Source organism: Homo sapiens, chromosome 10 (assembly GCF_000001405.40).
Source record: "Homo sapiens chromosome 10, GRCh38.p14 Primary Assembly".
In the NCBI taxonomy this organism is placed as follows: domain Eukaryota; kingdom Metazoa; phylum Chordata; class Mammalia; order Primates; family Hominidae; genus Homo; species Homo sapiens.
This window is the reverse complement of record NC_000010.11, coordinates 8,571,088-8,598,165: the sequence shown is the minus strand read 5'-3', so window position 1 is coordinate 8,598,165 and position 27,078 is coordinate 8,571,088. Positions and strand designations below refer to the sequence as shown.

The 27,078-nt window shown below is 39.1% G+C and overlaps 2 long non-coding RNA genes across 2 annotated transcripts; one reads left to right on the top strand and one right to left on the bottom strand.

Moving 5' to 3' along the window:
- The first annotated feature begins 3,774 nt into the window (after positions 1–3,774).
- On the top strand, positions 3,775–25,419 carry LOC105376398 (uncharacterized). The gene is made up of 2 exons (NR_134492.1): positions 3,775–3,818; positions 24,766–25,419. It is a non-coding gene; the product is annotated as an uncharacterized LOC105376398 (long non-coding RNA).
- Positions 4,432–8,859, bottom strand: LOC105376399 (uncharacterized). The gene is made up of 3 exons (XR_001747362.2): positions 8,777–8,859; positions 6,294–6,372; positions 4,432–4,626 (listed from the first exon to the last, which is right to left on the bottom strand). It is a non-coding gene; the product is annotated as an uncharacterized LOC105376399 (long non-coding RNA).
- Positions 25,420–27,078: the final 1,659 nt, after the last annotated feature.

Sequence of the window (27,078 nt, the reverse complement as noted above, 5' to 3'; positions counted from 1 at the left end):
ACTGTCTTGAAACTCTTAATAATTTTATCTTTTTCTAATGTTTTATAAGTCACATCCAGTAAGACAATGGGGAATAGGCATGAGCAGCAAAAATACACACAACATATGCTTCCTCTGTTCCTTGTCACCTTATTCATGTCAAACATTTGTGTTGCCCCATGACCCACAGTGTGTAGGAATTCAGAGAGACTCGATGAGAGCACAAGATCAGTGTGTTGTGTTGCTAGAAGGGGCATGTATCAAGAAGTGAAATTGTAATCCCAGCACTTTCGGAGGCCAAGGTGGGTGGATCATGAAGTCAGGAGATTGAGACCATCCTGGCCAACATAGTGAAACCCCGTCTCTACTAAAAATACAAAAATTAGCCAGGTGTTGTGGCGCGTGCCTGTAATCCCAGCTTCTCGGGAGGCTGAGGCAGGAGAATCACTTGAACCCGGGAGGGGGAGGTTGCAGTGAGCCGAGATCGCGCCACTGCACTCCAGCCTGGGTGACAGAGTGAGACTCCGTCTCAAAAAAAAAAAAAATATATATATATATATATATATGAGTTAGTTCTGTGCAGTGCTTCCTCTGTTCTGGTAACAACCGCATATGCATACATGAGCTACAAAACATGCATTGTGTAATTTCAGTCATTTTGCATACTAGTTAAATGCTCTTATAATTTCATGCAAAACTAGCATCATACAATATTAAAATGAGTGGTGAAATCCATACTAATAATTGACAATTTTAAATTTTCTTTACCAAGAATGGTATTAAACAGCAAATAGGAAACACCATGACTCTCGAGAGAGGGTGAGTTCCTGGAGGAAAAGAAAAAGCTTTGTCTTATAATGCCTTTCACAGAACTTTTCTCCTGCTTTTTTGAACAAGAGGCTTTGCATTTTTGTTTTGCTCTGGGTCTGCAGATCATGTGGCCATCCCTGGTTGGCACATTCTATGTGCCTATGAGCAATGTGTTTCTGAGGTACCCCTTTCTTGTTGGAGTTTATTCCTGCATGTCATGAGTCACTGCTTGGCACAGGGGACTTATGTGTTTGGGAAGCCAGGCCACTTATATTCCCACTGTGCTAGAGACTCGGATCTATCATACCTGTTACCTCATTCCCTAGACATCCCACACCTTGGCTAGGCTAAGTCCGCTTCCTCTGTGTTCGCCAAGATCTCGGTGAGCTTCCCTAAAAAGCACTCTTTATTCCATTTGGCTTTGTTCCTACATTTTCTCTTTCTCACTGGTCTATTAAGTAGCTCTTGGATGATGAAGACAAGGAACTGCGTCCTTCATCTTATGTCCAGACCCTGAACACAGGCCCCTGCAGATGACAGTCACTCACAGACTAAATGACATCTCATCCTCCCAGTGCCCACCTCCTTCCACCCTTCATACACCTCCTCACACGTGTACAATAAATAAAATCCTTTTCCCCCTAGTGTCTAATTGTAGAAGACAGAACTGTTTTGTTGTCTCTTCATTATCCCACTGGACTAAATACAAGGGCAAATAATCTAATTCTACCTAACATGCCCTGGCAACCGACAAGCCTCTTCTTCCTTCTCATAGTGCATTTCTCAAAGGGAAATGCAGCATATAAATGACAGTGTCAAGTTTTACAGACCTGAATCTGAGTCCCAGTTTGGCTTCTAACAAATGCCTCCAGCCAAACCATTCAAGTTATCTGAGCTTTAATTCCTTCATTTTATTAAACGTGTAATAATAGCACCCTGATGTGAAATACGCATGTCATTTCTGTAACATCTTCCACAGAGTTTGTTGATTCATAATACATAACTGACTTTATCATTGTTATCCCTGCCTTCAGGGAGGTTAATATATTTTAGGTTCTACATTGGTGTTACATCTTCTGAGTGAATAGATTAGAAGCAACAAAGACCAGAGAAGGTTGTCAAGCACCAGCTCCTGAACCTGAGCCAAGGAAATCAGTGGGTCAAAGCACTATTATGATGCACCCTGCTTCTCGGATTGAGAAGAGTCCATGGATGAGCTGGACCCTGAAATAAGTAAAGAACTGCTGGTCTTTTATGAGAAGTAAGGGGTAGGCATTCCAGGCTACAAGGAAAGCATAAGCAAGAGTGTGCACATGACTGTGTTTATCCATCCCTATGACAGTCTATGCACAAGGGCAGGCAGTGAGCAAAGGGGGCAAAGGGATAGGTGACCCAGGAACTTGTATTAAGTGCCAGCTTTGAGAGCACATGATTCCTATACTTTTGGAGTTGAACAAAACAGTCACTACTAACCCTTGGCCTGCTAACTGTGCATATGTATCGGTAGAGAATGTCCAGTATATTTGCTTAGACTCTGTGGTCTGAATCTGAGCACAGATCACTTACAGGTAGAGACTTCACCTCCTTTAGGCCAGGTTTCCTTTTATAGATCAGGCCAAAACCACTTGCTTAATTGCATCAAAGACTAATAAACATCACTGTCCAGTGAGACCCTGATCTCCAGGTACTCAACCTCTGTTAGTTGAAAATAATAGTTCTCAGAGAAGGGCATTTTTAGGAGGGATCTTTTCTTCCTCAGTATTTAGTGGACACCAACTTTGAGGGTGAAGGATAAGCAAGGCATCATCCCTGCCCATAAGAAGACTCAACTCACCGTCTTTCATATAATATCAGAACAAGACACCAATTTATTCACCAGCTAGAGAGTGGACTTCTTAAACTCAACACTGGGACTTACGTTACCAAAGTAAGGGCCATGTGTGTGTGTGTGCACGTGTGTGTATGCATGCGTGTGCAGATGAGAGCAGATGAGGGAAGAATGATCAGAGTTTGGGCAGAGATGAAGAAACAATGACAACTAATGAATCAACAAGTGGCTGGTGGTGGCAATAGCTTCAAGGACTGAACACAGAAGCAGAAACTATTTTTAGGTTATACCTTTTATTGCTGATGCTTTGCAAAAAAACATAGATTTCCTTCATACATCACTGGCCTTTTTCTCTGGCTTTTCTCTTCCTTATCTGTAAGTAATCTTTGGAACAACAAATATTTAAGACCCATCTCAAAGTTTTTCCAAGATTGAGCTTTGATATGATTGGCTGCTACCTACAAACACAAGGAAGCTCCTTATTTTATCTGCCATTTATTTGATCTTGTTTCTTAGCCCTCTCCAGGACAGCACTCATAAGGAGACAGTACTCCTGAAGGCCGCTTATGGCCATGTGAAGAGAAACTTCTCTACAGACTCAGTTCTGCGTACACACATAGTTCCTGAAATGGAATGCCAGCAATGTTGCCTAAAGCAACCCGACACACACAACAATATGTGTATTCATTTGAACATTAAACAGTGAGACAATCCTACAGCACAATCCTACAGGCTTTCAATCTGTAGATTACCAGCCCTTAGAGCCTAGCTTCGGCCCGCTCCTCACATCACCCTCTGCCCCCAGAAAATGCATTTTATTGCACATTTTGTGGCAAAGCTTATGACAATTATCACCCAAATCCATAATTAGCAAGTGGTAACATATAGGCAGATAGATCCACTTAAGGTGACATCTCTGACAGATTGACATCCCCCCCACCCACTCACCTTCAAAAACCCCTGCAAGGCTCTTCATTTTAAATGTGACCATGCTCAAACACAATGCTGGCAAGCCTAGTCTCGTGTTCGTGGAGGGGGGAGGGGGTTATAAAAGCGACATGTTCACACAAGCATGGCAGAGCCCATGCATAAACCATTTGGTTTTGCAATTAAAAACAGGTTTGACTTCCTTCTGCAACAGTAAGACAACGTCAAAGCAACAATCATCCCGAAAATTTTCCCTTGTGAATTCAAATGAACTGTGAGTCTTGGGGTTCTCTTTGTTTGCATGTGCATGCCTTGAGAATGAGTTTCTGGAAGGGTTCAACATGTTTCTTTCTGGGGTAGTGCCGTTGAGGTGTGTGTTGAATCACTGCTACCAGATGGGTCTCGGTTACACTCACCATTCCGGGTTCCTTAGGTACAGGGTTAGCGCGTTTTGGATTTGTCCCATCGGGCTTATTACTGCAGGTAAACTAACTCTCCAAGACCCATCCCTTTGACCTAGAAAATAATCACTCGTCTTGAAGATCTGCCTGCAATCCACGCTTATAGACTGGACCTGAGTTTCAAAGGGACTAAAAACACAAATGTGCTCCCTACTAGGAAGTGTAGTAAATTTGACTACAATGACGGCTAATTATATCTTTATTGTTGTCATTCTTGAATGATGGATTGAACGATTAGATCCTATGATATTGGGAGAAATCTCTACCTTAAAGCTAAAATCCTGCACTGTACAAGGAAGGGCTGAGGAGGATGCTGTAAAAGCCGATCCTAGTTCCAGGGAACTCACCCATTTTCTACAAGGTCGAAGATTACTTCCATTTTTCTTTCTCTCATTCTTTCTCCACTCAATGCAATGTAAAGAAATATCGCCCATTATTTCAGTGTTTATTGTTAAAATATGAGTTCGAATTTTCTGCCATATTAAAAAAAATGCAAAGTAACCGGTCCTTATCCATGCATCAAAACTGTCAGAGCCTGGGCGACTCTGCGTTTGAAGAGATCGGAGGAAGAGAATTGGTTGACAGCACCCTCGGCCCATCCTTTGATGTACAAGGAAAGTTCTGTGAAAAGACAACATATTAGCAATGTCAAATTTTGAATGATGATGATGATAATTAATATTAATTAAAAGAGAGACAAAAAAGAACAATTAATCTCAGTACAGTATACTTGATCTAAAAGTTATCATGGAATGAATTTGCCTCTATTTACTTTATTAAAGCCTCACCAACTTCCTTTTAAGAAAGTTTAGTTTATTGGTGTTTCTCTGGAATTATCTTATCTTAAAATGTCACCATCAAAAGTTATTCAGTAAAATAATTTCTAAAATGTAGGTCAACTTTTATTGCATCATTCTGAAATTCATAATTTGAGATAAATATAAAACCTTCACAATGTGTGAAGTAAGTAAAAATATTATTGACACAAAGTAAGTAAGATACACTAATATATATGAATAATATGTGTAATTGCATTTAAAAATTCAAAAATTCCTTTAACCTATTTTGTCCTATATTTTACCTTTATATAAAAGCATAATTCATACACATAATTGTATATTTCCCCAAAATACATGTTTTGCTTGCTTTTGACCTATGGACTAGATGAATAGGAAAAGAGAAATGAAATTTTTCTAAATATGAATTTTTATTTTTGCTCTGATAAAAATAATTCATTTTCTCAACAAATTATTAACAATAAATAAAAATATTTTCAATATTTATTAATTATACATATTGGAAATTTTTTATTGATGTTGGACTCTCATTTGCTGGACTGTTTGTTTTCTAACCTTATACATAAAAAACAAAGCATAAAAAGCAGTTTTAAATTTAGTTTAACTAAGGCAAAAATAAATTCAACTTTTAACATCACAAAAATAACAGAATTTTGTAACAAAGTCAGACTCCTAAAAATAAATATATGATAATGAAAATAATTTTATAAAGCTTTATGTAATTTGAATTTTCCCCTCCATTTATCAAAACATTGCTTCTTATTGAAAACATTTTTTAATGAGCAAAAAACTACTACCACTTAATTCAAATATTGATTGGAGAAGACAGACTATCTGTGCTTTCTACAAGCTTATAAATTTTACTAGAGGAGCTACTTATTTAGGTTTTTTTTAAACTAATTTAGAGTTAATAGCTCTGTTTCCTAACAACAATGTATCTGAAGTGTTGTAAAAGAAAGAAGGGAATTAAGCGGTTATTAGGTCTTCAAACTCAAGTTTTCAAATGCCCAATAAATGATGCAATTGTGACTAAAGAAAGTTTTAAGTTGGAGATGGTTAAATAAAGAAATATTCAGAACTCACATAGAATTGTGATAAATAGTTTTTGTGAGAGCTTAAATAGGCCAAACATAAAGGATTGCTTCTAGGAAGGGGGCTGAAGAATCAGAAAGTTAGTAACGAAAATTCTTAGAACTTAATCACGAGCTTGTATTTCAGTAAATTAAACACCTTTCGTGTAAAGGATAGATGTACAGAAGTCATTATATCATTATGCTAATTTGTCACCTATCTGCACTGAAAAATCATATTGTGGGATTTATTCCCAACAACCAGAATTACATGGTAGTTTTTTTAAAGTTTGGAGTTGTTTAGTTTAGGTTTTAAGCAATACATTCACCCTTATGAATTGGAGAATCGACTTTCCCAAACTTATCATAAATTGCGTTTCTGAGGAGGTTTTTTAGTAGAAACAGAATGAAATGAAAGCACCTGCTCATTGAAACCACATCACTGAAGCTGCTCATAGCACATCAAACATGAAGAAGCAGGCAAGTCCTCCCTTTTCTCCCTGTGGGTTAAAGTAAGGCACCGAGTTTAAAAATGGGATTCTGTCTCTCCTCTTTGCATTTCTGCTCGTACACGTCCCATAAAAACATGACTGAGAGCACAGACCCACTCCACAGGTGTGTCGTGGAAGCCGCTAGTAAAAAATGATTTTAAAACATTTGGAAACTGCCAAGCTCTTGAGAAAATGCTTATTAAAGACCAATAAAATTGTGAAAATTGAGAAGAAAACATACAGTAAACTTTTTTGGTGTGCTTTAAAGAAGGCAGTTTCATCTCCAGTCACGTGGGCTTGGCTGTGGTAAACCCAGGCAAGAAAAACAAGCTTGTCCATGATTTCCTAATGAAGGGCTAAAGAGAGTTGAGAACAACAGTTCCATATTCACTAAGTCGCCCATGTAGATATAAGCCATTTTCACCCGTAGCCACCATAACCCAGAATTTTACAAGTGATTGAAAATTCTGCAAACACTCCCAGACAGTGCCCATATTATCAGTAATAAATGAAGTATGAGTACCGTCAACTGAAATTCAAAATGGTCATTGGGTCTCTTTCTGCCAGACACCTGGACCATGAGGCAGGTGAAAGAGAGAATTTGGTCATTTTAACAGCCAGTCTGGGATTGTTTCATTGATAGCAACTGTAAGGAGAATCAACGTTGCATGGTCTCGTAGTTCCTAATACTGCAGATTGATGATATGCTCCTGAAAAGCTACAGTTCTGCAAGGACCAAAAGGAAAGATGAATTTTCTTCCAGTTTTATAGCATTTGTGTAGAATGTTTCATTCTTTATTTTAAAAATTATTTTTCCCAACTCAATTGATTAGTACATTCTTGGAAATGAGATCCTCATACAGAATTAGCTGATTCTGGGCTTTCCTCAATGACACTATTTTCAAATCTGCTTGATCCTAAGAATCTCCTGTGCACTGCCTAGACCTAAAGAACAAACTCTCTAATGAAAATTCTGAACACAGGTGTTTTTTAAGCACTCCATTTTTTAAAGACACCCCAGGTGAGGATCAAACAAGTTTGGGAAATCCAGTTTAAGTTTAATTGGAACAAATTTAATGCTGACAACACAAAATACCCAAGAAGAATAGAGAAGGGAGTCTTCATTGCATAGCTCCAAGAAGCATGGTGATCTTTCTCCTTAGAGACTTTCTGAGTTCTGTTATGTAGATATAGATTAGTACAATAACCAGTAGTTGGTGTCCCATTTAAACACTCAAGTACTATAAAAACTTTTTTTTTTTTTGAGATGGAGTCTTACTCTGTCACCAAGGCTGGAATGTAATGGCATGATCTCGGCTCACTGCAACTTCCACCTCCTGGGTTCAAGTGATTCTCCTGCCTCAGTCTCCCGAGTAGCAGGGACTACAGGTGTGTGCCACCATGCCCGGCTAATTTTTGTATTTTTAGTAGAGACAAGATTTCACCATGTTGGCCAGGCTGCTCTCAAACTCCTGACCTCAAATGATCCACCTGCCTCGACCTCCCAAAGTGCTGGGATTACAGGCATGAGCCACCGTACCTGGTTCACAAACATTTTCAAAAGCCATCTCAAAAGCTTTAGAGGAGTATCTAGGTTAAAAATTGTAACTCAAGAACTTCAAACATAGCAGTCAAAAAATTGTTAAATAATGTTAAGCTAAAGGAAAAAAATTATCTTCTGATGATATGTAATTATCCAATAGCTATTTGACATTTTTTAATGTCAAGCCCAACATAATGAATTGAATATGTCATATGGATTTGAGTCTAAGCAAAGTGTATTCTTGCAGAATAGCCTTGCAAGAATGCAACTTCTAAAGATAAGAGCTTGTAACATAGATTGCTTTGAGGGAGATGAAATAGCACAGTAACAAAAATATACTGCTTTTTTGTCGAATTATTATTTTTATATTGAAAATACTATTCATTATAGAGCCAAAAATGCCTACAAAAATAGCATATAAAAATTATTTTGTTTCACCCTTTGATTGAGAAAACTGCAACCAACTATACCACACACCTCGGTGATTAATAACTCTGATTTATTATAGAGAACGTGAAATCATCCAAGCCTTTTATCCACTAGTTTGCATAATAAACAAGTTTAAAAAACAGCATCAGTACAAGTAGGAGGTCAGTTCATAAAAATTTCATGTAATACAAGTTTCTCTAAACTAATAGGTCTCATAAGTCAAACGCGGCTTCTCATTCCCCATCTCTACCAAATATGCATAAAGTGGAGGTAGTGGGGTGTAGATGAACAGATTTTTCTCTCAATATGGAATTAATATTCTAGATACTTTGCCCAGAGAAGTCTTCTGAATAAATTGTTACTAGCATTCCTCATAGTAATTCTCTGTTTTTATGAATGAAAAAGATAGTAATATTTAATAAATCAATAGTTTCACATCACCTTCTTCCAAATGGAGAAACTGAGGCCCAGGGAGCTGACTATGTTCACAGGAGCTGTCAGGTATTTTCAGATGAGTGAAGCTGATCAATATCTCAGAAAGACCTAGTAACGATTATGCAGAGAATAGAAATTACTAGAGTTTTATCTGCATATCTGAATAAGTAGTTGCCATTTTCATAAAACTTCACAAGAGAAAAGCCATTATGAATGATTTAATGCCAAAGAAATGAAATAAAATTTTCATCTCCAGAAATTTTAGTGATTTGACTGCAGTGGTATCCTGTGCAGTAGATCATTTCTTGTCCTTTTACTTAGCTTAAATGCCCCAGAGGAGATCCTAAGAGCTATACGATATTTCACTTTGGAATCAGATCTATTTGCTTTGGAATCAGATACTTGGAATGGTTAGCAGGTGACCTGAAAACTCCATGATAAAGTCAACCTTGGCCATTTGCTTATATGTCACCTGTATGTCATCACTGAACATTTCCAAACACTGGCTTTAAAATTAAGAGTCTGGAAAAATGTACACATGATATTCATGGGTTGAAGTCAATTGCATTGATTTAACTCTGTTTCCAAATGGGGAATAAAAGAAGACATAGCTGCCTCTCCAATTTTTTCCCCTCTCTCTAGACAGAGGGGTACATTTTTAGACCTCCCGAGAGCCTCATTCATTGTGAACATAAATTTTCACCCTCGAGTTATGCCTGCCTCTTTCTCCTTTGCCGGGATTTGGCTATGGGAGAGAGGGAAGAGAGACCAGAACCACAATCCAAGAATCTTCTTCTTCTTCTCTTCTCATCTTTCTAGCCTCAGCCCTACCATGCCCTAGTGTGAACAAGGTCATGTGTAACTCTGGTGAGAATTTACAGACAAGAATGTCATTTCTCCTGGGTTCACAAGGAAAACAAACCTAGGATTGCTCCTCATGTGAATTTGCGAATAGCCCAGTTTATGACACATCACATTATTAGCACAACAGGAGGGCTGAATCCCAAATGGGGCCCAGCATTGCCTCCTCCTTTTGTTGACAGAAAAAAAGTTTAGTTACTAGCAACCACCCAGCCCCTGCCAATGAGAAGCTGTCCTGCTGTTGCTGGGTACAAACTCACGTGAGAAAGAGGTCAAGGCATACACCACCCATCAGGCGGCAGAGACCTATTGAGAAGCCTATTATTATATGTAGGAGACTGCTGCAAGGAGAAACATCAGCATAAGATACAGTCCAGACTTCTCATCTCACCAGTAAATGAGATTTACACATGAGAAAATCTTTGCCCCAAAAGAAAAAAACCTGACATGCGAGGGTTATACGTCTTAAGTAATAACTAAAGCAATAAATACATCCTATGTGATTGCTCAGAAAAGTAAGATCACAAGTTCCTAAGATGACTGGGATAGAAATAAATCAGATTTTGAGTAGTTCAACATCTGAGGGAGTTCGGAGGTGGGTAAATAATTACTTCTGATGTAAGAATTTGCTCTGACATCTCATTTGTGACTCTCCTTAATTCATTTAAAATACTTTCTAAACAAGGAAAAACTGAGAGGTGAGATCATCATAGAGGAAAAGGCAATAGAAACAAACATTAAAAGATATTTGCTTGCATTAGGTTTTTAAATTTTGTTTGGTTTGATTTATTTCTTCCCTGTCAGAATGTTCGATGTTGAATTTGCTGACTTCTATAGAAAAAAATGAAGCAGGATGTCTCAGAAGTCTCTGAGTGCACTGAATAATTACACTCTGTTTTTCTTACTATACCATTCCAATATTACAGCAATGGTAATTCTAACAAGTCGGTACAGATTCATCAAAACAAAGTTAATGAAGAAGTGGAGACTATATTCAACTTGTCATTTTTTTTATGTTTCTTTGTTATGTGTAGCCATACTTTCCCCACTATTATCTGCATGTTACTTACATTGATTTAATGCATTTAGACAATTTATCTACCATACATTTTCACAATTCAGGGCTGACAGGAATTGTCAGGTTAAAGCTGACAATTGAAAAGTTAAAGCTCTTTAACCTTTGTGGCAGATGAAAACCTACAGTTTTGCCGCTGCCTGTAATGCATGTGTTGCCAAAGTCATTTCGATGGCTGTTTATTGTAAGAAAATAGAAGAGCTGATTACCCAAAATTCAAAAGAGGAGTGGAGGAAATGAGGAAGTGAAGAAGGAAGGAATGGGAAGAGGGGGGAGGGAAGAAGGGAGAGAAGAGGGAGAAATGGAAAGAGAGCGACGAATAAAGAGAGGAAGGAAGGAAGAAAGAAGAGAGAGAAAGAGAAAAAAGGAGAAAAAGAGAAAGGAAAGAAAGAGAAAGAAAAGAAAGAAAGAAAGAAAGAAAGAAAGAAAGAAAGAAAGAGAAAGAAAGAAAGAAAGAAAGAAAGAAAGAAAGAAAGAAAGAAAGAAAGAAAGAAAGAAAAAGAGGGAGAGGGAGAGGGAAGGAAGGAAGGAAAGAAGGAGGCAGGGAGGAAGGGAGGAAGGAAGAAAGAAAGGAGAAAGAATGAAAGAGAAAGAATGAACGAACAGAACAGTAAGTGTCTATTGTTGCAGAGCTCTGTCTTGGCTTGTCATGGAGATATTTCACTTGACTGAAATAAGAGTGCAATAAAGTTATAACATCAGTTACCTCAACGACAAGCCTGCCACCCACACAACCTTGCCATTCAAATGTCTTGCTCATTTTTCTCATTACATTATTATGATCAGCCTCTTAGTCAAGTCTTAGTTTGACTAACCTATTGCCATGGGCTACTACTTGGTCAATTTTCATCGTATTTAACAAGAGCAATGAAATGGCCCTGGACACTCCTGTTGTTTCCATTCCTCTCACAACCTTGATGAGATAATCCAGCTTATCAGCTGTGTCTGAGATTGAGGGGCCCTTTAGGACCACAGGCTCTTTTTCTTTAGTACTTCCTTTCATAACAAAGGGATATGTTCTCAATGGCAACTGAACATTCAAAATGCAACAACGCATGTATTAAAGAACGTGTTTTTCCTTGTTCACATTTACATTTGGAAGAGGGACATTCCAGTAGCTTGGAAGGAACGGTGAATTAAAGTAAAAATAACCTACCTAACATGTTGCTTACCACATACCAAATGCAGTTCTGAGAACGTGGCTCACGTGGGCTCGTTTCGCCTTCATCACAGTTCAGTGAGGAGGGTGCTAGCCATAATTACCCATTTTACAGACCAGAACATGAAAGCACAGAGAAACCAGTTGCTGTGCCCAAGGTCACAGAGCAGGGAAGTGGCATGGTCAGAGCTGAAAGCCAGGAAATTTGATTCTAGATCCACACTCTTAACCCCATGCTCCACTGAAAACAATAAAGGTACATTGTTTAGTAAAATTGTAAAATCAGATCCAATAGAAACTTTAAATACAAAAGAGTTGTGGGAAAAAACAAAGTCGAGGAATGATTTTCCAAAATCCACATTAAACTCTGAGAATCTGAATCCATGTATCAAATTTTCTATGTCTAAAGCCTCCTTTGAAAAAAATATGGGCCAGGTGCAGTGGCTCATGCCTGTAATCCCAGCACATTGGGAGGCCAAGGCAGGTGGATCATCCGAGGTCAGGAGTTTGAGACCAGCCTGGCCAACATGGTGAAACCCCATCTCTACTGAAAATACAAAAATTAGCCAGGTGCGGTGGAGCGCTCCTGTAATCCCAGCTACTCAGGAGGCTGAATGGGGAGAATAGCTTGAATCTAGGAGGCAGAGGTTGCAGTAAGCTGAGATCGCGCCACTGCACTCCAGCCTGGGCAATAGAGTGAGACTCTGTCTCAAAAAAAAAAAAAAAAAAAAGAAAAAAAGAAAAAGAAAAAGAAAAGAAAACGAAAAATATGTTTCATAGCCAAGAAGGATTGAGTCCCGGTTTCCTCATTCATATAGGGGAAACAACACAGCCCTCCTTATACAGTCTTTGGTATGATTATGATAATGTGTGCAAAGCCCATGGCACAGAGTTTGATGTATGTTAGATGATCAACAAATAGCAGCTACTATTTATAACTGTTATTGGATCTTTTCCCCCTGTGTTCCCCTGATACATCCTATCAGATGTATCTTGCATTTAGGTGCCTCCTCTCACTTCACAAAGCAAATAAATGTTCCCACTTTCCCATCAAAACAAACCGCAATGCTATGAAATGATATCTTGAACAGAACTCCAATTGGGAAATAGCAAATATATCAGCTAGTACTCTGTGGACTTAATAATCAGGTTTCAAAGTGAGCACTTGTATGTGATGGTGAAAGTTATTTTAGAAAGAGCTGTTAGAGCAGATACAGAGATGGAAACTTGGATAGGCACATTGGCTGAAAGAAGACAGTTACACTCATGTAGTTATAATTAGATAAGGCGCCTCCAAATACATGCATGAATCAGCCACTGAACTCCTTAAGGTTGGGAATCATTGAAGCATGTGTCTACAGAGGATTCCTCTCTTGCAGACTGATTCTCTCTCTCTCTCCTGCCTTCAGAGAAGGAGAGCAGGTAGACAAAGCACGTGAAGGAATGCAGTTCCCAGACTTGCACAGGAAGTGGCCTGGACTGGTCTAAGTGCTCCTGTACCCAAGTATTTGTCCCATTGCCCTGGCCAGGACTTCCTGTTCCACTTTGTTAACAGATTTGGAGTCCCACTGTCAGGAGTCACAGAGCAGAAGCCCTAGATTTCAAGGAACAATCAGACAGGGTGTTTTACATACTGTTGATGCATAGACTATAAAATTAATTACAGTGCAAATGGCAAATGGTTACACATAACCTAATTCACACATCCTGATTTCTGTTTACTACTACCATTTACCACAACCGAGACAGAGAAAATTTTTATGTAAATAGCCAGTGACCAACAGAGATCTAATACAGTGGGCACACATGTATGTATGTGTTTCTAAAGACATGTACAAATTCAGACACATGCATTCATACATGTGGGCACACACATATACATATGTATGCATACGTGATCAAATAAATGCTCTACTGGAAATCTTTGCAAAATTATAACACTAATAAATGAAGTGTAAAGAAATATGCATTACTGATGCAAAATGTTGATTTGCCAAAATGAAACCTTGCAGAGTTGCAAACTTAAATGAAATTTTTATCAACTGCAATAATTATCCTGTGCAGTAGAGATCTTCTGAGCTATTCATAAAAGCTTCTGAGGAAATTTTTTTTTGAAATAGACCTTATTCAGAGCAGTTTTGGGGTCACAGCAAAATTGAACAGAGGGTATGGAGATTTCCCATATGCTCCCTGCTCCCCTACACCCACAGCCTCCCCAATTAACAATATCTCCCACTAGAGTGGTCTATTTGTTACATGGATGAACCGACATTGACATACCATCATCATCCAGAGTCCAGAGTGAACATGAGGGCTCACTCTTCATGTTATACATTCTGTAGGTTTGGGCAAATGTACAATGACATGTGTCCATCACTGTAGTATCATACAGAGTAGTTTCTCTACCTTAAAGTCCCCTGTGCTCCACCTGTTCCTCCCTTCCTCCTCCAACCCCTGGCAACCACTTATCTTTTTACTGTCTCCATAGTTTTGCCTTTCCCAAAACGTCATATAGAATGCAACCTTTTCAGATGCATTTCTTTCACTTAGTAATATGCACTTAAGGTTTTTCAGTGTCTTTTGGTGGCTTGATAGCTTATTTCTTCTTAGCACTTAATAATATCCTGTTGTATGGATGGATCACTGTTTATTTATCCACTCATCTACTGAAGGGTATCTTGATTGCTTCCAAGTTTTGTCAATTATGAATAAAACTTCTGTGAACATCTATGTGTGGTTTTTTTGTGGACATAATTTTTCAACTCCTTTGGACAAATACCAAGGTGCATGAGTCCTGGATCCATGGTAAGAATATCCCTATAATCCCAGCACTTTGGGAGGTTGAGGTGGGAGGATTGCTTGAGCCCAGGAGTTTGAGACCAGCATGGGCAACAAAGTGAGACATCATCTCAAAAAAATTTTCTTAATTGGCTGGGTGCAGAAGTGCACACCTGTAGTTCCAACTATTCAGGAGGCTGAAGCGGGAGGATTGGTTCAGCCCAGGAGGTCAAGGCTGCAATGAGTCATGATTACACCACTGCACTCCAGCCTAGGCAACAGAGCATGGCCCTGTCTCTAAAGAAATTAAAATAAAAAAATTAAAAAAAAAAAAGTAGAGGGCTGGGCACAGTGGCTCATGACTGTAATCTCAGCACTTTGGATTGCTTGAGCCCAGGAGTTCGAGACCAGCCTGGGCAACAAAGCAAGAGCCTATCTCTAAAAAAAATTAAGAATATGTGTAGTCTTGTAAGAAACCACCAAACTTTCTTCCAAAGTGGCTGCAAATGGACCATTTTACCTTTCCATCCGCAGTGAATGAGGGCTCAGTGTTCTGGATTTTAGTATCTCTAATAGGTGTGTAGTGGTTTATCATGGTTGTTTTAATTTGCATTTCCCTGATGACAGATGATATGGACCATTTTTTATATGCTTATTTGCCATCTGTAGATCTTTGGTGAGGTGTCTGTTCAGAACTTCAGCCCATACCATTTACTTTATCTCTGACAAATAAGTGTATAGAATTGACACAATAAACCAGCAGACACTTAAGACAACCCTGCTGAGACAACCTCAGAAGAGGGAGAAGTCCTGATAGAAATCCTGCCTTTACTTTTTGAAATTTGATTTAAAAAAAATAAGGTAGTAATTCGAGGGATCTCCAATCACAAGGCTTTGGAAAGGACTGGAAAGTCTTAATTGGCTGCTGATAAATGTTTGATTAGAAATATTCTCTTTAAAATGTTTAAATTTACTCACCTGATGAAAACTTTCACACATTGATTTTGGCTTCTCATTATGAAGCTAATACTGAGGACGGTTTTTCCCGGTATTTTATTTCTCAAATTTTCACTGGTCATTTTTCTCAGGACAATTTGCCAAGAGCAGAATTCTAAACAGCCAAAATCCCATCTAATCCTTTACTCACTAGTAGTAAAAAGTACTATAATGTGGTATAAAGAGAGAGTGGGTTGGTGGGGGAATTAGGTGATTTGAAAGATAACTTTGGAAAGTTTGTAAACCAGCATGATTGTGTGGTGTGTGTGTGTGTGTGTGTGTGTAGTTAACACTGGATTTAGACATCAAGGCACAGTTTACAACTCCTAGGCTGATAATCTCATCTGGCCTGAATTCTCATCTTTACACTTCACCGATTTCTGATTTCCTGATTGGCCTCAGGCAAGTCACTTCCAGTTGCCCACAGTGGTTACCATGGCCCTGCTCAACCAGTCTGTGTGGATTTGAGCTCTCTCTCAACTGCTTATGAACCGTGTAACTTTGGGCAAGTTACTAAACCTTCTTGTGCGTCTGTTTTCTCATCTGTGAAATGAGCGTAACAGTTTCTAGTCCACAGAGCTGTGACGGGGGCAGGGGGGAGCGAATGAGATCATGCGTGTACAGTATTGCTTGGACCATCATAAATACTCAATACATATTGGCTCATTGTTATTAGCTGAGTCATAGTTTCCTCATATACTGCATAAGAGGGTCGGACCAAGTGACCTCATGAATTCTTTCGATCAGTCTTAAGGAAAACCCTATCATATGGAATGTAGCTACCCAATCTTCCAAAATCTCTGCAGCCACAGAGCCCTCATCACCACACTGCTGGTTGTGCAGGCTTCATTGATTCCTATTTTACATGCAATTCTAACAACTGCATTTATTCAATTTCTCAGACGACAGCAAATCAGATGCCCAAATTAGGAAGGAGAAAGAATGCTGAAAGAAAAACGCCTTGGGAGCCAGAGTGATTGCAAATTGTCTGGCATTAGGGAAAGACAGACTAAACAATTGTTACCACAGAATAATGTGCCTGTGCACTACCATGACGCCAACGTCACTAAAAACTTTTGAATTACATTTAGTATATTACTTACGGCAGTGATCAATTTTAAAGCTATTTATATCAAAAATTATTAGCATGTTATAGGTTTGGGGATTATCAGTTTCTGGTTGTTTTTCTTATGGGAAAAATGTCCCTGGTTGCTGTTTAGGTCTCTCCCAGACTTGCTGGCCCTCTCTGGTCTCTCCTGGTGGGGCCTCCCTGCACCACACCGACTGGGTAGGGCTGTGCACAACAGTTCTCTCCCAACAGGAAGGTTGACATGGGATTAGAGAATAACAACCCAGGTAGCCAGCACTGATACAGCAGTGCTGTTGTGTGTATGTTTGACTTCAAACTCCAGCCACATTCATGCTTACACCTCAGTAATAAGCGTGAGTTTACCATTAGAGTTTACTATCTATTAGTGCCATTAGCGAGTAACAACTACTTACTATCTATTGGTGTTATCAGAGAGTAACAACCCAGGTAGCCAGCACTGATTACAGCAGGGCTGTCCTGTGTACATTTGACTTGAAACCCCAGCCACACTCACGCTTACACCTCAATAATAGTGATCTCTTTCCTTGGCCCTCATATCACCTGCTTCTTTTCCAACCTAGGAGGTAATGCATTCAATTAAGACTTTACTAGACCTAGATAAAGGTCTGAATCCTGTCTCAATCACTTGTCTACTATGCAACTTTGGGCAAGACAGACATTTGTATTTTGCACATCATTTTCTCGTCTATAAGATGTGGATAGTAATGCCGTACCTCCCAAGGCTCTCGAGGGGAGTCAATGAGACTGTGGAGGTCAAGCACAGAGCCGGGAGACAGGAGGTGTTCAAGGGGGAGTAGCAATTCCTGGTGCCCATTTTAATTGCGTCTAGGATTTTGACAGGCCTTCCCAACCACAGCTCATCACACTACGTAGGAGGCATAGTGGGTGAAGTGTAGGTTTGGAGTCAGATAGACCCAGATTGGAATGCCCATTCTATTGGTTGCCATCTGGGTGGCCATGGGCAAAGTATTTAGGCTTTTTGAGGCTCAGTTTCTCCCACTTGTATACTGGGGATACCACCACTCTCCTGCAAGATTTGTTGTGATAATTTCATCAGAAACATATTTAAGAGGAGTCTCATAGGAGTGGGTGATTAACATTTAAAATATCTATATTGAGGCCGGGCGCGGTGGCTCATGCCTCTAATCCCAGCACTTTGGGAGGCCGAGGCAGGTGGATCACGAGGTCAGGAGATCAAGACCATCCTGGCTAACACAGTGAAACCCCATCTCTACTAAAAAAATACAAAAAAATTAGTTGGGCATGGTGGTGGACGCCTGTAGTCCCAGCTACTCAGGAGGCTGAGGCAGGAGAATGGCATGAACCCAGGAGTCAGAGCTTGCAGTGAGCTGAGATCATGCCACTGAGCTCCAGCCTGGGCAACAGAGTGAGACTCCATCTCAAAAATATATACATATATGTAAATATATTTATTATATGTATTTTATACATATAAGATATATATATACACACACATATATATAGAGAGAGAGAGAGAGCCTGTACTCTTCAAAGCAGTTTCACTGACATTATCTTATTTTATTCTTACAGAAACCCTGTAAGGTAGTTGGGGCAGGTATTTTCTGCCCATTTAAAGAGAAAGAAAGAAGCTAAGTGATGCTAAGTGTTTAATCCAACATCACATAGCCCATAAATGTGCCAGGGTCCAAACTAGAGTCCAGGCTTCTGCCTCATGCACTAATGATTTTCTACATAGGTAAGATCATTTCGGCACTGCAGATTTCCATTGTAAACATAGAGGAGAAGGCAAAACAAGTGAACACATCTTTCCTCACACTCTTCTAGCAGCTTTAGAATGTGTGCAATGACCTTTTCAGCAGCAGGTGATAGAAAGCCCCATCACCAACTAGCTTAAATAGCAAGGAAATGTACTATTTCACATAACTGCAAATTCAGAGAATGAAAGGAGAGCTCCAGGCTCAGTATGATCATCAGCACAATCATGTCAATGAAGACTGTGTTTCTTTCTGTCTTACCTCCCTGCAGGCATCAATTTCACCTTAAGGTTGGTCACCCTCATGGTCATCAGGTGGCTGCCCATGGCAATTAGAACTACAGAGTTCTCTTGTTCATGTCTGGCAGGACCAAGAGAGAAAGCTCTCCCTCAAGCACTGGGTGTAAGTGCCCCCATCAGTCTGTTGGGTCTACTACTATAGACCTACCCCTGGGCCAGTAAGAGAAAACAGATAAATGCCTGCACTTACTGCCCCAGATTAAGCATGATCTGCTCCCACAGTGGAGAACGAAGTCGTCTGCTCCTTAGTCATCAGAGGGAGGGGTGAATGTATAAGTAATTAGGTTCTTAATTAATGAGTACAGGGGCACAGGTGTTGGGTGGATAACCAACAGTATCCACAATGTGGGGCAATAATAAAATTCATTACCGAATTATTGCAACACATTTCCATTTTTAGTCCACCTGCATTCTTCTTCACCAAAACATTGATTTCAGGTGATTATTGAAATAAAAATTGTGAAGACAGCAGGCAAAGACATTTGCTCACACATTATTTTTATGTCTTTTATGACTTTATTATCTTAACTTAAAATCAAGCATGAAGCCCTTTCAACCTTTTATATGAAATAGAAGAAAGGCGATGAGCATTTTTATAAACCCAAGTTTTATTGAGAGAAATCAACCTGGAACAAAGATAGATTTGATATTTCTAAAAATAAAATTTAATGGTACAGAGCCATTTGATTGAGAAGAAATATATAAAATAAAATTGGGAGCATGATACGATGGGGAAAATTTAAGGCTAAAAATTAGGGGAACCTCTGTTTTTGATCCACCTCTGTCACCGACAAATTATATGTCCATGAGTAACTCACTAAGAATAAAACTAAATCAGTGGTTGCAAACTGGCAGCCCACAGGTCAAATCTGGTCCAAGACATGATTTTTCTTTCTTTCTTTTCTTTTTTGGCTAGCACTTAAGATTCAGTCGTATCTCAGATAACCCTATTGTTAGTAGCATAAGAAAATTTCTGAAAGTAAACACAGCCACCAAAACTCTAGAGACCAGATGCCAAAGGTTCAAAGTCACTTACAATGAAAATATACATACAAGTTATCCCAGAGCCAATAAAAATGCATCATATTATCAAGATATCAAGAAATAAATATCTTCACTCAGAATTACTGTTGGTCCATTGTGGTTGAAAGATTGTTTATGTAGTTAAAGTCAAAATCTTTATATTGCCTGTATTATAGGACCCAGATCTGTTAGAAGAAGAAGAAGAAAAAATAGTGTTTTAAAAAGACAGTTCCCCAAATTGGTTTCTCTGGAGGATTTAATTTAACTTCATGCTGAAGTAGAATGAAGTCGATCCTGCCGAAGAGTTCACGTGTTCTGAATGTGGAAATTAGCTCTTCTGTGGAATCAGAAGGATTTGCAATTTGTATAAATGAATGTTTCTTTTACTCAGTTTACTTGCAAAACAGTGCCTGACTCAGTTTCACCAAGTAATAGTGAAACCTTTGTCGAGTTGGAAAGTACTCGCCTTTCAAAGAAGAACCACAGAGCTCTTTTGAGACCATGAAATGTGTTTCCTGATGAGCGTCTCAGAATCTATGCTAACATAGGTAATGCATTTTTCTTTTCACCCCCCAGAACTCATTTATCCTGATTAGAAGTTTTTGGCACACCTCGAATATTACATAATCAGACATCAGTACAGAAGCTCTTAGCCTCTTGTCACTGTTCAGGCTAAGCCATCGCCAGTGTTGTAACATCATTGATATCGCCAGAAGATAACTCAAAGTTGTCTACTGGCTATATAATTTGTCAGACATTAATAGTGACTAGGGCTATCAGTAAACATACAGTACTTTTTGTCTTCTTTTCCTGATAGTGGTTTTGATAAGATTTAAAGTAGCCTCAGCTTTAGCTTCCTTAAGTACTGGGATGTGTGTGTGTTTTAAACGGGTGGCTTAAAATGTCGGATGCCATCATCTTCTCTAACTGTAAGCCAAAGAATTGCCACATTTTCTGACTTCTTTTGTCAGTTTTTGACATTTGCTTTCCCTTGTTGGAAAAAGTTGTCTTTTCAATGTGTTAGTCTTGATCCATTGAATGTAATGAAAGCTAACCTCAAGGAAATTCTCAGGAAAGTCCCCAAAGAAGGGAGGTTCTCCATTAGCAGGTAAAACATTCTCCAAAGATCCTCAGCAGGTTGCTTTTTGAAAACCTCAGCAATTTAGTAGAAAATAGCACATAAATTATATGTTAAACTTTTATTACTTAAATGCAGTTGATTTCTAATGGAGGAGGAGGGAAGATTTTCCCTAACTGTGGTTAGGAAGCTGAACAACGAAATGAGATTAATTTTTAACAAACGAATCAATCAGTACAGTGAAATTTCAGAAATCTTCCACTGAATTAACCCATGTGATCTTTTAAAAACTAATCTTGGCCAAGTGTGGTGGCTTACTCCTGTAACCCCAGCACTTTGGGAGGCCAAGGCGGGCAGATCTCTTGAGGTCAGGATTTCGAGACCAGCCTGGCCAATATGATGAAACCTCATCTCTACTGAAAAATTAAAAAAATTAGCTGAGTGTGGTGGTGCCCACTTGTAATCCTAGCTGCTCTGGAGGCTGAGGCATGAGAATCGCTTGAGCCTGGGAGACAGAGGTTGCAGTGAGCTGAGATCATGCCACTGCACTTCAGCCTGGGCGACAGAGCAAGACTCTGTCTCAAAAAAAATAAATACATAAAAAATAAACAAAAACAAACAAACAAACAAATGAATCTGATAAAATAACACAGGTTAAAAAAACTTTACTAACCCTCTTAGATTAATATTTCAAAGCTCTTTAACATCTGCCCACTTTACCTCTACAGAATTTTCAACATAACATCTTTGCATAAAACATTCATTCCAACCAACCGGTTCTACTCCCTGCCATGCAATCTTGACTGTTCCTTCTCATTGCCACTGTGCCCTGTGTGTGTCCTGGCCTTAGCTGCTTTCATTTTTCTCTCTGATTATCTCCTAGGCTAAATTCAAGTCATGCTTCCTCCACAAAGTTTGTGCAAATGACTTTCTCTCTGAATCTCTAGAGTACTGATGGTCCATCCTCAACAATTTAAGATCTCTTAGATTATTGCTATCATTTTATGTCTGTATTACTATTTCCAATTGACCAGGCACTTTTATTTTATGTGCTTCCAGGAGATTTTCAGTTCCTAAAGATGTCTTGTACTTGTCATTGTGTCTCTCCAATACCTTACCCAATGGCTTGCACATGGCTGACTGTCTCATACATTCTCTAATCTGTATAGTCCAGCTGATCTAGTTAAATCATTTAACCTGAATCAAAAGACTAAGTGATGGACTGTTATGGAATAGTGGTAAAAATTTTAATCATATTTGTAGTCCAGGTGCCTTTAATAGATAGATTTCCAGATCTGCCACTTACTAGATAGTGACTTATCTTGGACAAGTCATTTCACCTTTTATAGCCCCAGTTTTCTTCATCTGTAAAATTGAAAGAATAATAATGACTCTCTTGCCTATTTCACTAGATTACTGAGAGAAGCAAATGATGTAATGTCTTTGAAGGTGTTTATACAAAGTCAAGTATCTTACAAATATGAATGATCCTAGTTGGGCAAATGAAACACTATTTTTAGAAATCCCATATCAAATGCAGTCAGGAACTCCTAAACTGATCAAGACTGGTGTGATCAAGATCATTTTAAGGCATATTATGATCAATTTTAAACAGTGCTGTGAGTCAGATTGCTATCCTTGCCTTACAGGTGGAAGTTTGATGTTATCTAGAAGCAAATGGTTTAAGTAAAATCACTGACAGCACCACTATGAGATGTCTTTACTGTTCCAGTTGGTAGCTTTCAGTCTATTTAGCACCACTGCTTCCTCCTAAACTTTTCTTTAAGCCTCATTAAAGTTCTGATTCTTAGGGATTAATATAAGCAGACACTGATAATATCAAGCTCTCCTCTCTATAATTCCAAGAACCCTTGGAATTAGCATAAATTACATTCCTGAATCCATCATTTGGTTCCATATCTCTTCAAAGTCTTTTCTGACCCTTCTCATCACCCTCAAATCCATGTCCCTTTCTCATAAGCTCAGTTCTTTGCCATTCCATCATTACTAACTTCCTGTAAGACATCTCCACTTGGATGTCTCACAAAAATCTTGAATTTAAGAAAATCAAGGGGCTAAGGCAAGCAGACTGCTTGAGGTCAGAAGTTCAGGATCAATCTGGAAACATGGTGAAACCCCATCTCTACAAAAAATACAAAATTTAACCAGGCATGGTGGTAAGCACCTGTAGTCCCAGCTACTTGGGCGGCTGAGACAGGAGGATCACTTGAGCTGGGGAGGTCAAGGCTGTAGTGAACGTATTCAGGCCACTGAACTCAAGCCTGGGTGACAGAGCAAGCCTCTGTCTCCAAAAAAAAAAAAGAAAGAAAAGTACATAAAAGAAAAGAAAAACTAAACAAGAAAAGAAAAGCTAAACTTGTTGCCTGTTCCTGTCTCACCCCTCCTGTTCTGAAACCCACAACTCTTTCTGTGTTGTCCAGCTCAGGACACGCAGTGTCATCCATCCCATGGCCAAAACCCAAAACCTGGGAGTTAGTCTTGCCTCACTCTTTTTCAAGCCTTACTCACTGCTGTGATTCTGTCTCCTGTCCATCTCATTAATTCGCACACACTCCTGTGTCTCCATTGAGACTTTGGCTTGGCTCATTGATTGCTTAGATTACCGCAACAGTCTTCGAACTATCCTCACCTTCAGTTTGTCTCTCTCCAATCCATTGTCACTTCTGTAACCAGAGTAACCCCTTTAAGATGCAAACTTAATCCTATCAATTCCTGGCTTAGGATCTTTCACTGGGTCCCCATTTCCCTCTGTAAGGGGGACGTAAGATGAAATGTACATCCAAACTTCTCCACATGACAGCCAGAGTCTCCCGTACCCAGGTCATCTCTCCCCTTCCTTTAAGCCTTAACTTAGTTGCCAATGTCTCCTAGAAGATTTTTCTATAAAGTCACATCCAATAATCAACTGGTTAGTGCCCTACAATTGCCCAAATGAACATTCTCCCACTCTTATAATTGAGTTCAACTTGCCTAAGCACCCTGTAAACTTGAAACCTCCTTCATGACAGGACCATTCCTTTCACCAACTTATCTCAGTTACTCTTGATCCCTAAACACCATCTCCAGGGTTAGGTGCATGATATACTCTCAGTAAATAAGAAAGACAATGTACTCTCCCTTCCTCTTTCATATTTCCCTTTATTTCCAAATATTCTACCTCTTCTGCTCTGTTAGATTTCATGAATCACTGCCAGCCATGGTGGCTCACTCCTGTAATCTCAGCACTTTGGGAAGCCGAGGCAGGCAGATCACCTGGGGTCACGAGTTCAAGACCAGCCTGGCCAACATGGTGAAACCCCATCTCTACTAAAAAGACAAAAAAAAAAAAATTAGCCAGGCGTGGTGGCAGGTGCCTGTAATCCCAGCTACTTGGGAGGCTGAGGCACGAGAATTGCTGGAACCCAGGAGGCAGAGTTTGCAGTGAGCTAAGATCACGCCACTGTACTCCAGCCAGGGCGACAGAGGAGGACTCCACCTCAAAAAAAAGAAAAAAAAAGATTTTGTGAATCATGTTTATTTCAGGAAATCTTCCTAATGCCATCTGCTCCAGTCAGCCCTTATTCTGCTTCGCCTTTGAATGTATTCATCGAATGCGTCTCATGTAGCACTTTTTGGAATGCTTTAGAAGAAGATTGTGAGGTTCAGGTCTGGGTATGTAGTGTGTCCTAACATCAATGATAAGCTGCATGGGTAAGCAATCAGGGGTAATCTTCAGTTACCCCTGATCTCCTACCTTCGTAGCAGTCATATAATGCTTATTCAAGGCTATTTAGAATGTGCCATCACCCCTTCCAGTGTTCACATCCCGACCTCCTGTGATTCATGGTTCATTATGCATCTTTCTCTCTTCACTCTCAGGTAACACCAAAGGATGGTTCATTACGTTGCCCCATTGCAGAGATCCAGAGTGCTCATGGACAGGGCCAGAAAGTCTGAGTGGATGTGCCCTACTGAGAGCCAGCCTTGACTTTAAGAGCAAAGATGTGCTTTCTCGGAGATCTAGGGCTCTTGCTTTTATATTCGACAAGTTGTTTTCAACACTTCAGTCTTTTCAGCTGTTGGGAGAAGGACTGTAAGATTCCTGCCAACTCTACACAAGAAATATTACAGAAGTGCTCATCACCAAAACAAATGACTGATGTGACTGTTGACCTATGAGTGTCAAAATTAACTTACCACAAGAGAGAAAAACGTCTTTAATATGTTTAAAACATGTTCTGAAAGGGGACAGAAAGGATGGAGCCCGAGCACCTAATATTGTCATTTCACTGTCACACAGCCTGTGCCCACAGCATGAATTTTCCTAGGAAATGTCACTCTGATGCCTTCTATGTAGAAGAAACTTGAATTGTCAAATACTCACCAAACTAGCACAGTCTTCCAAAAACCAGGAAGACCTGGAACCAAACAGAAAATGAATATTCAGCCAAGCATGAAACTTTCAAAGAAAATAAACTGCATCTATCCCTATTAAACTCTTTGTTCATTCTAAATAAAAACAATTTAATTAATTCACTTAGGCAATTCCACACCAAATATCTAGTAATTGAGGGAAACCTACATATGAGAAAAGAGGGAGTAAACAGTTAAGGACAGTGGCCTGAAAAACCTGTAAAGTTGATTCCATTCAATTTTAATTGTATACAGATAGTCACTGCCTCAGCCACAATATCAGATGGCGTGGTCTGTGTTTTAGATATTCTTTTGTTCCAGCATGACTATCTACATAACATCAGAATTGCCATCTGATTGAGCAACTACAACTGCCACAGAGAGATTTCTTTTTATCTTACTTTAGTAACAATACTCTGTGTGTGTGTGTGTGTGTGTGTGTGTGTGTGTGTGTGTGTGTAATATGGGGTAATGACTCTTTGAGATATATTTTACAAATTTTAAAAATTAATAGAAACTTACCAATCCTAATTTCTTATTTTCATGTATTTGCACATTATATCAGTCATGTTATTCTCATTTTTAATCTACATAGTAGATTTATGCTGCAATATGTAGTTACCTTCCATATTTCCTAATTTGGAAGTGTTTGAATTGCTTAAAACGTGAGACTTTACAAATGGTTCTGCTATATATATATATCTTTATTCAGATTTCTCTTTTGCATACCTGCCTAATAATTGAATGAATGGATCTAGGTCTAGAAGAGTGTCTAGCTCCTTTTACATCATTGCAGGTTTGTGTCTAGCAAAATTAAACCAATTTATAAATGTATAAATTCCACCAATGGCAGTCATATATGAATGTATGTCCCCTGGATCCTCGCCTTCAGTGATTTTTTTTAAAAAATTGTCTATTGTTTTGCTAGCTTAATTAGCATACAAAGATACCTAAAATTTGAATAACTTTCATTTATTTTACTATTAATGAGTGTGTATATTGTGTTTGCCATGGTCCCTTACTACTTCATTTCTATGATGGAAATCTACAGACCACAACCGTGAGTGAAGTGCTGTGTCAAGATCATAAAGATGACCAGGGCATCACTGGTACCCTCAAAGGGCACATAGTATAAATGAAGGATACAAACGTAAAAGGAAAACCACAACAAAAAATAAGTTACACCAAAAAAATTAAATACTATATAGCAATAAAAAGGAATGAGCTGCTGACACGTGCAACATCAGATAAGAACTTCAGAAGCATGAAGCTAGGTAAAAGAAGGAAGACTCAAAAAGCCATATACAGCACGATGCCACTTATATAACATTCTGGAAAAGTCAAAACTATGTTAACAAAAAACACAGGAGCAATTGCCAGGGACTGGGAGAGGGGAAGGGGGCTGACTAGGAGTGGGTGATAGAATATTCTGTATCTTGATTATGGCATGATGTCAAAATGTGTAGAGCTGTACACCTTAAAAGGATGGATTTTACTAAATATGATTGATATCTCTACAAATCTGATGTTAAAAAGGGAGAAGTGAAATGGTTGACGGTATCTGCTGAGAATGAAGATTCTCAGATCAGGCTGCTGGAATTTGTATCTCTTTCCTATCCCTTACTGACTATGTGGGTCTACACAATTATTTAACCTCTCTGTGCATCAACTTGTTCATCTTTGAAACGGGTATAATAGTGCCTACTTCATGGTATTATTAGGAGAGATAATCAGTGCAACATATCTGGAATATGATAACAGCTCAATAGATTTTGTTTC